General features: G+C 40.3%; 1 annotated feature.

The window, feature by feature from the left end:
* Positions 9603 to 10145: an enhancer, noted in NCBI's record as "OCT4-NANOG hESC enhancer chr12:73209905-73210447 (GRCh37/hg19 assembly coordinates)". NCBI's record gives its function as "activates a minimal SCP1, AML or CMV promoter by ChIP-STARR-seq in naive and primed H9 embryonic stem cells {active_cell/tissue: H9 hESC(naive and primed)}" and the evidence as "EXISTENCE:reporter gene assay evidence [ECO:0000049][PMID:30033119]".

The following is a 10417-nucleotide window of genomic DNA, read 5'->3' on the forward strand; positions in this document are numbered from 1 at the left end:
GGACAGAAATATAGTGATAATTGGGCATTAATCAGGCGGCACATTGACCTACTTCTTTGTAACTGCAAGTCACATAGCATTAGATACTGACCATTTGCATCTCCATTGTTTCTACAGATAGAATTTCTGGCATTAAAATCACAGGGCTTTTATTTAAGATAAATAGGGTCTCTGACATTAGAATCATAAGGCTTTGTTTAAGAATTGCTTAAGATCTTTTTCAGATCCTGAATTGCAGCAAAACAGCTGAGGCCAGCTATTTTGAAGACCCCAAGAGAGGAATGGATTTGCATGAAAATATCATTTCTTCAACTCCCTGTCTCAAGACTTCACCCTGCACTCTTTGACAAATGTTCCCCACACTTTGCTTCATTCCAAAACCTTGGACCCAAATTCCTTGGGGAGTTTAAATTTGAGGTTTCCTCCCATCTCCTCATTTGGTGATCCTACGGATTAAACCTGTTTCTCCGCTGCAACCCAGTTTCTTGGTGCATTGACTTGCTTTGTGCATTGGGCAATGGAGTTATTACAGTTACACATGGTGAAGAAAGTGATTGATCTTGTCCCAGTTGGCATTTTTCATATAATATTGAAGACACAAATAAAAAAATAAACTGAGCAATACATTTTGCTAGTTTGTTTTCAGGGAAAAAAAGTGTTTTTGTAAATTCTTAATACGATTTGCTTGTAGGATTTATAAACAGATTCTAGAGGCAATGCCAAAAAATTTTAAACCTATTTCGACATGGCACCAGATTGCTATTAGGATTTAGCTATGAAAGCTGGCAGTCTGAAATGACAATTCTCATTTTTAAATTCTACCATGTTAATTAACAGCTACATAAAAATATTTTCCATGCTTTCCAATCGCACTTCACAGATTCTTGTGCTAAATGATCAAATTTAATAAAAGTTTGTGTTCATATTCTGAAAATGAAAAATTATGTTGGTGTAATCATCATTACTAGTCAGAGGTGATCTGGTCACAGTTAAACACCTGCATTTAAATTAATGACCTTCATTTGTAAATGTATTTACTTAGATTTTAAAAAGAAATTTTTCTTATTATTATTATACTTCAAGTTCTAGGGTACATGTGCACAACGTGCAGGTTTGTTACATATGTATACATGTGCCATGTTGGTGTGCTGCACCCATTGACTCGTCATTTACATTAGATATATCTCCTAATGCTATCCCTCCCCCCTCCCCCCATCCCACAACAGGCCCCAGTGTGTGATGTTCCCCACCCTGTGTCCAAGTGTTTTCATTGTTCAATTCCCACCCATGAATAAGAACATATGGTGTTTGATTTTTCGTCGTTGCAATAGTTTGCTCAGAATGATGGTTTCCAGATTCATCCATGTCCCTGCAAAGGACATGAACTCATCATTTTTTATGGCTGCGTAGTATTCCATGGTGTATATGTGCCACATTTTCTTAATCCAGTCTATCATTGATGGACATTTGGGTTGGTTCCAAGTCTTTGCTATTGTGAATAGTGCCTCAATAAACATGTGCATGTGTCTTTATAGTAGCATGATTTATAATCATTTGGGTATATACCCTGTAATGGGATGGCTGGGTCAAATGGTATTTCTAGTTCTAGATCCTTGAGCAATTGCCACACTGTCTTCCACAATGTTTGAACTAGCTTACATTCCCAACGACAGTGTAAGAGTGTTCCTATTTCTCCACATCCTCTCCAGCACCTGATTTTTCCTGACTTTTTAATGGTCACCATTCTAACCAGTGTGAGATGGTATCTCATTGTAGTTTTGATTTGCATTTCTCTGATGGCCAGTGATGATGAACATTTTTTCATGTGTCTTTTGTCTGCATAAATGTTTTCTTTTGAGAAGTGTCTATTCATGTCCTTTGACCACTTTCTGATGGGGTTGATTTTTTCTTGTAAATTTGTTTGAGTTCTTTGTAGATTCCGGATATTAGCCCTTTGTCAGATGGGTAGATTGTAAAAATTTTCTCCCATTCTGTAGGTTGCCTGTTCACTCTGATGGTAGTTTCTTTTGCTGTGCAGAAGCTGTTTAGTTTAATTAGATCCCATTTGTCAATTTTGGCTTTTGTTGCCATTGCTTTCGGTGTTTTAGTCATGAAGTCCTTGCCCATGCCTATGTCCTGAATGGTATTGCCTAGGTTTTCTTCTAGGGTTTTTATGGTTTTAGGTCTAACATTTAAGTCTTCAATCCATCTTGAATTAATTTTTGTATAAGGTGTAAGGAAGTGATCCAGTTTCAGCTTTCTATATATGGCTAGCCAGTTTTCCCAGCAGAATTTATTAAACAGGGAATCCTTCCCCCATTTCTTGTTTTTGTCAGGTTTGTCAAAGATCAGATGGTTGTAGATGTGTGGTATTATTACTGAGGGCTCCGTTCTGTTCCATTGGTCTATATCTCTGTTTTGGTAACAGTACCATGCAGTTTTGGTTACTGTAGCCTTGTAGTATAGTTTGAAGTCAGGTAGCGTGATGCCTCCAGCTTTGTTCTTTTGGCTTAGGATTGTCTTGGCAATGCGGGCTTTTTTTTTTGTTCCATATGAACTCTAAAGTAGTTTTTTCCAATTCTGTGAAGAAAGTCATTAGTAGCTTGATGGGGATGGCATTGAATCTATAAATTACCTTGGGGAGTATGGCCATTTTCATGATATTGATTCTTCCTATCCATGAGCATGGAATGTTCTTCCATTTGTTTGTGTCCTCTTTTATTTCATTGAGCAGTGATTTGTAGTTCTCCTTGAAGAGGTCCTTCACATCCCTTGTAAGTTGGATTCCTAAGTATTTTATTCTCTTTGAAGCAATTGTGAATGGGAGTTCACTCATGATTTGGCTCTCTGTTTGTTATTGGTGTATAGGAATGCTTGTGATTTTTGCACATTGATTTTGTATCCTGAGACTTTGCTGAAGTTGCTTATCAGCTTAAGGAGATTTTGGGCTGAGACGATGGGGTTTTCTAAATATACAATCATGTCATCTGCAAACAGGGACAATTTGACTTCCTCTTTTCCTAATTGAATACCCCTTATTTCTTTCTCCTGCCTGATTGTCCTGGCCAGAACTTCCAACACTACGTTGAATAGGAGAGGTGAGAGAGGGCATCCCTGTCTTGTGCCAGTTTTCAAAGGGAGTTCTTCCAGTTTTTGTCCATTCAGTATAATATCGACTGTGGGTTTGTCATGAATAGCTCTTATTATTTTGAGACATGTCCCATCAATACCTAATTTATTGAGAGTTTTTACCATGAAGGGCTTTGAATTTTGTCAAAGGCCTTTTCTACATCTATTGAGATAATCATGTGGCTTTTGTCTTTGGTTCTGTTTATATGATGGATTACATTTATTGATTTGCATATGTTGAACCAGCCTTGCATCCCAGGGATGAAGCCAACTTCATAGTGGTGGATAAGCTTTTTGATGTGCTGATGGATTTGGTTTGCCAGTATTTTATTGAGGATTTTTGCATCAATGTTCATCAGGGATATTGGTCTAAAATTCTCTTTTTTTGTTGTGTCTCTGCCAGCCTTTGGAATCAAGATGATACTGGCTTTATAAAATGAGTTAGGGAGGATTCCCTCCTTTTCTATTGATTGGAATAGTTTCAGAAGGAATGATACCAGCTCCTCTTTGTACCTCGGGTAGAATTTGGCTGTGAATCCATCTGGTCCTGGACTTTTTTGGTTGGTAGGCTGTTAATTATTGGCTCAATTTCAGAGCCTGTTATTGGTCTGTTCAGGGATTCAACTTCTTCCTGGTTTAGTCTTGGGAGGTTGTATGTGTCCAGGAATTTATCCATTTCTTCTAGATTTTCTAGTTTATTTATGTAGAGGTGTTTATAGTATTCTCTTATGGTAGTTTGTATTTCTATGGGATCAGTGGTGATGTCCCCTTTATCATTTCTTATTGCGTCTATTTGGTTCTTCTCTCTTTTCTTCTTTATTAGTCTTGCTAGTGGTGTATCAATTTTGTTGATCTTTTCAAAAAACCAACTCCTGGGTTCATTGATTTTTTGAAGGGTTTTTTGTGTCTCTATCTCCTTCAGTTCTGCTCTGATCTTAGTTATTTCTTGCCTTCTGCTAGCTTTTGAATGAGTTTGCTCTTGCTTCTCTAGTAAATTGTGATGTTAGGTTGTCCATTTTAGATCTTTCCTGCTTTCTCTTGTGGGCACTTAGTGTCATAAATTTCCCTCTAAACACTGCTTTAAATGTGTCCCAGAGATTCTGGTATGTTGTGTCCTTGTTCTCATTCGTTTCAAAGAATGTCTTCATTTCTGCCTTCATTTCATTATGTACCCAGTAGTCATTCAGGACTATGTTGTTCAGTTTCCATGTAGTTGAGGGGTTTTGAGTGAGTTTCTTAATCCTGAGTTCTAGTTTGATTGCACTGTGGTCTGAGAGACAGTTTGTTATAATTTCTGTTCTTTTACATTTGCTGAGGAGTGCTTTACTTCCAACTATGTGGTCAGTTTTGGAATAAGCATGATGTGGTGCTGACAAGAATGTATATTCTGTTGATTTGGGGTGGAGACTTCTGTAGATGTCTATTAGGTCCACTTGGTGCAGAGCTGAGTTCAATTCCTGGATATCCTTGTTAATTTTCTGTCTCGTTGATCTGTCTAATCTTGACAGTGGGGTGTTAAAGTCTCCCATTATTATTGTGTGGGAGTCTAAGTCTCTTTGTAGGTCTCTAAGGACTTGCTTTATGAATCTGGGTGCTCCTGTATTGGGTGCATATTTATTTAGGATAGTTAGCTCTTCTTGTTGAATTGATCCCTTTACCATTATGTAATGGCGTTCTTTGTCTCTTTTGATGTTTGTTGGTTTAAAGTCTGTTTTATCTGACACTAGGATTGCAACCCCTGCTTTTTTTTGTTTTCCATTTGCTTGGTAGATCTTCCTCCATCCCTTTATTTTGAGCCTATGTGTGTCTCTGCACGTGAGATGGGTCTCCTGAATATAGAACACTGCTGGGTCTTGACTCTTTATCCAATTTCCCAGTCTGTGTATTTTAATTGGAGCATTTAGCCCATTTACATTTAAGGTTAATATTGTTATGTGTGAATTTGATCCTGTCATTATGATGGTAGCTGGTTATTTTGCTCATTAGTTTATGCTGTTTTTTCCTAGCATCGATGGTCTTTACAATTTGGCATGTTTTTGCAGTGGCTGGTACTGGTTGTTCCTTTCCATGTTTAGTGCTTCCTTCAGGAGCTCTTGTAAGGCAGGCTTGGTGGTGACAAAATCTCTCAGCATTTGCTTGTCTGTAAAGGATTTTATTTCTCCTTCATTTATGAAGATTAGTTTGGCTGGATATGAAATTCTGGGTTGAAAATTCTTTTCTTTAAGAATTTTGAATATTGGCACCCACTCTCTTCTGGCTTGTAGAGTTTCTGCTGAGAGATCCGCTGTTAGTCTGATGGGCTTCCCTTTGTGGGTAACCCAACCTTTCTCTCTGGCTGCCCTGACATTTTTTCCTTCATTTCAACTTTGGTGAATCTGAAAAATTATGTGTCTTGGAGTTGCTCTTCTCCAGGAGTGCCTTTGTGGCATTCTCTGTATTTCCTGAATTTGAATGCTGGCCTGCCTTGCTAGGTTGGGGAAGTTCTTCTGGATAATATCCTGCAGAGTGTTTTCCAACTTGGGTCCATTTACCCCGTCACTTTCAGGTACACCAATCACATGTAGACTTGGTTTTTTCACATAGTCCCATATTTCTTGGAGACTTTGTTCATTTCTTTTTACTCTTTTTTCTCTAAACTTCTCTTCTCACTTCATGTCATTCATTTGATCTTCAATCACAGATACCCTTTCTTCCACTTGATTGAATCAGCTACTGAAGCTTGTGCATGCATCACGTAGTTCTCATGCCATGATTTTCAGCTCCGTCAGATCATTTAAGGTCTTCTCTATGCTGTTTATTCTAGTTACCCATTCGTCTAATCTTTTTTCAAGGTTTTTAGCTTCTTTGCAATGGGTTTGAACATCCTCCTTTAGCTCAGAGAAGTTTATTAGCAATCGTCAGAGGCCTTCTTCTCTCAACTCGTCAAAGTCATTCTCCATCCAGCTTTGTTCCGTTGCTGGTGAGCAGCTGCGTTCCTTTGCAGGAGAAGACGTGCTCTGATTTTTAGAATTTTCAGCTTTTCTCCTCTCGTTTCTCCCCATCTTTGTGGTTTTATCTACATTTGGTCTTTGATGATGGTGACATACAGATGGTGTTTTGGTGTGGATGTCCTTTCTGTTTGTTAGTTTTCCTTCTAATAGTCAGCACCCTCAGCTGCAGGTCTGTTGGAGTTTGCTGGTGGACCACTCCAGACCCTGTTTGCCTGGGTATCCCCAGCGGAGGCTGCAGAACAGCAAATATTGCAGAACAGCAAATGCTGCCTGATCCTTCCTCTGGAAGCTTCATCTCATAGGGGCACCCAGCTGTATGAGGTGTTAGTTGGCCCCTACTGGGAGGTGTCTCCCAGTTAGGCTACTTGGGGCTCAGGGACCTACTTGAGGAGGCAGTCTGTCCATTCTCAGATCTCACACTACATGCTGGGAGAACCACTCCTCTCTTCAAAACTGTCAGACAGGGACGTTTAAGTCTGCAGAAGTTTCTGCTGCCTTTTGTTCAGCTATGCCCTACCCCCAGAGGTGGAGTCTACAGAGGCAGGCAGGCCTCCTTGAGCTGTGGTGGGCTCCACCCAGTTTGAGCTTCCAGGCAGCTTTGTTTACCTACTCAAGCCTCAGCAATGGTGGACGCCCCTCCCCCAGCCTTGCTGCTGCCTTACAGTTCCATCTCAGACTGCTGTGCTAGCAATGAGAGAGGCTCTGTGGGTGTGGGACCCTCTGAGCCAAGCATGGGATATAATCTCCTGGTGTGCCATTTGCCAAGACCATTGGAAAACCACAGTATTATGGTGGGAGTGTCCTAATTTTCCAGGTACTGTCTGTCATGGCTTCCCTTGGCTTGGAAAGGGAATTCCCTGACCCCTTGGGCTTCCCGGGTGAGGTGATGCCCCGCCCTGCTTTGGCTCATGCTCCTTGGGGGCTGCACCCACTGTCCGACAAGCCCCATTGAGATGAACCCCATACCTCAGTTGGAAATGCAGAAATCACCAATCTTCTGTGTCGCTCATGCTGGGAGTTGTAGACTGGAGATCTTCCTATTTGGCCATCTTGGAACTTCCCCTGAAAAGAAAAGATTTAACCAGCATATTTAGCTACACAAAGAATGAATCCACACTTTAAAGCCAAACAAGTAATAGAAATAAACTTGCATTGATCTTTGAGTCACCCTTGGCTCTTCTCTTTCTCTTATACACCATATCAAATCTGGATTAATATTTTATTGCTGTTGCCACAAATTACTACAAAATTAGTAGCTTAAATAACAACAAATTTCTTATCCTACTATTCTGTAGGATTGAAGTCTGACACGGGTCTCACCGAACTTAGATCCATAAGTCTAGACAGTATGCTCTAAGGGGCAACCTATTTCCTTGCCCTCTTTGGTTTCTAGAGTCTGCTCACTTTCCTGGGAACATGCAGCCCTTCCTCCATTTTCAAAGTCAGCAGCAATGCATCTTTGTTTGGTAGAAACTTCTTCCTCTGCCTCATTCTTCTGCCTCATCCACTTCTAAGGACCTTTGTGATTACATTGAGCCCTCTAGAATTGTCCAGCATAGTCTCTTTATTTTAAGGTATGCTCATGTGTAACCTTAATTCTATCTGCAACCTTAATTCCCATTTGCTATATACCCAAACATATTCATATGTTCTGTTCTGAGGATTAGACAGGAACATTTGGGAGGCCTTTATTCTGCTTTCCACACAGCAAATTGCTACCAAAAGCAAAAATTTTTACTATTTTTTTAAATACATTACTGTGCCACCACTTTTCCTACCACAACTGCTGTCACTGTGGTTCAACATCATCTCTTGCCTGAATTATTATATCAATCTTATAACTGGTGTCAACAAAAAGAGCCAAACTGTAAAATATTTGAAGAGATTTATTCTGAGTCAAATATGAGTGACCATAGCCTGTGACACAGCCCTCAGGAAGTCCTGAGAACATGTGCCCAAGGTGGTCAGAGTGCAGCTTGGTTTTATACATTTTAGGGAAGCATGAGCCATCAAATACATTTAAGAAATACATTGGTTTGGTCCAGAAAGAGAGGACAATTTGAAGTGTGGGGAGGTGCAGGAGGTGGGATTCCAGGCTAAAGGTAAATTTAAACATTTTCTGGCTGACAATTGGTTGAGTTTGTCTAAAGATCTGGGTTCAATAGATAGGAATGTCTGGGTTGCAAAAGAGGTTGTAGAGACCAAAGTTTTACTATGCAGATAAAGCTTTTAGCTAAGAGGCTTAAGAAAGAATAGGTTGTAAAATGTTTCCTATCAGATTTAAAGTCTGTATTGATGTTGAGAAGTATAATGAGGTATGTTTGAACAGCACTTCCCATCAGGGCCTGAAACAGACTCTCAGGTTAAATTTTAAGAGCCCTGGCTGAGGAGGAAGTGCATTCAGATGGTTGGGAGGGGGGCTTAGAATTTTATTTTTGGTTTACAGTGGTCTTATTGCTTTATCCTTGCCTCTGTAAGCCATAAATAAAATCTAAGCTTTCCAACCAACTGAATGGACCCCCTCTGAAAAACTAAATTCTGGATTTTAACAGGAAGTGGGGGTCAGACATGCCTCATTATGCCTCCTCCTCTTTGGAGCTTAGGCACAAATGACTAGTATTGACATTAAAATAGGGATCCTCAGACTGACAAAACAGACTCTTTGTAGTAATAAGATACCAAATTGCAACGTCACTCTGGTATGGCATGACGTGACAGATGTTGCAGACTCTGAAAGAAATCAAAATATTTTACTCCCAAATATATTTCGTTGACATATTTTGAAATGGTCCTCCAATGTTGCCATCTGTAGGGGAAACTTGGAATCTGTAGAGGATCTCTATTAGTGCAGCTAGGTCTTTCCCATATCTAGAAGGGATTTAGAGTCTGACACCTTCTAAGATGCTAAAAAAAGACAGCATCTATTCTCTCTGAAGCCTGTTACCTGGAAGCTTCATCTACATAACAAGAACCTTGGCTTCCACAACCCCCCCCTTATCTTAACTCAAGCATTTCTTTCTAGTGATTTCAAGTCTTTAGCTTAACTCTTTCAACCAATTGCCAATCAGAAAATCTTTGAATTGGCCAGGCACAGTGGCTCACACCTGTAATTCCAGCACTTTGGGAGGTCAAGATGGGAGGATCACTTGAACTCATGAGTTTGAGACCAGCTTGGGCAACATAGGGAGAGCTTATCTCTACAGAAAATTTAAAAAAATAGAAATAGCCAGGTGGGTTGATGTGCATCTGTAGTCCCAAGTACTCAGGAAGCTGAGGTGGGAGAATTGCTTGTGCCTTAGAAGTTGAGGCTACAGTCAGCCATGACTACACCACTGCACTTCAGTTTTGGTGGCAGAGCAAGACCCTGTCTCAAAAAAAGAAAAAAGAAAAAGAAAATCTTTGAATCTACCTCTGACTTGTAAGCCCCCCACTTTGCCATCTTTCTGGGCTGAAATAGTATACACTTATTTTCATGCATGTCCGTGTGAAGAGACCACCAAACAGGCTTTGTGTGAGCAACATGGCTGTTTATTTCACCTGGGTGCAGGTGGGCTGAGTCCAAAAAGAGAGTCAGTGAAGGGAGATAAGGTTGGGGCCGTTTTATAGGATTTGGGTAGGTAAAGGAAAATTACAGTCAAAGGGGGTTTGTTCTCTGGCGGGTAGGAGTGGGGGTCGCAAGGTGCTCAGTGGGCAGGAGTGGGGGTCACAAGGTGCTCAGTGGGGGTGCTTTTTGAGCCAGGATGAGCCAGGAAAAGGACTTTCACAAGGTAATGTCATCAGTTAAGGCAAGGACCGGCCATTTACACTTTTGTGGTGGAATGTCATCAGTTAAGGTGGGGCAAGGCATATTCACTTCTTTTGTGATTCTTCAGTTACTTCAGGCCATCTGGGCGTATACGTGCAAGTCACAGGGGATGTGATGGCTTGGCTTGGGCTCAGAGGCCTGACATTTATATGTGTTGATTTATGTCTTGTCTATAACTTCTGTCTCCCTAAAATGTATAAAACCAAACTATAACCTGACTGCCTCAGGCACACTTTCTCAGGACCTCTTTAGACTTTACTGTGGGCCATGGTCACTCATCTTGACTTAGAATAAACCTCTTAAAATATTTCACAGAGTTTGGCTTTTTCATAACACCACTGCAGACTATTTTCCACATAGCAGCCTGGTTAATCTTTTAAAATAGCAGTCATAATTTGTATCACTTTCAAAACTCTTCTAATGCTTCCCAACTCACTTAGAATAAAATCCACAGTTCTTAGAGTGATCCAGTACACCCTCCAAAATCAAGTTA

The sequence above is a fragment of the Homo sapiens genome, chromosome 12 (genome assembly GCF_000001405.40).
Source record: "Homo sapiens chromosome 12, GRCh38.p14 Primary Assembly".
NCBI lineage: Eukaryota > Metazoa > Chordata > Mammalia > Primates > Hominidae > Homo > Homo sapiens.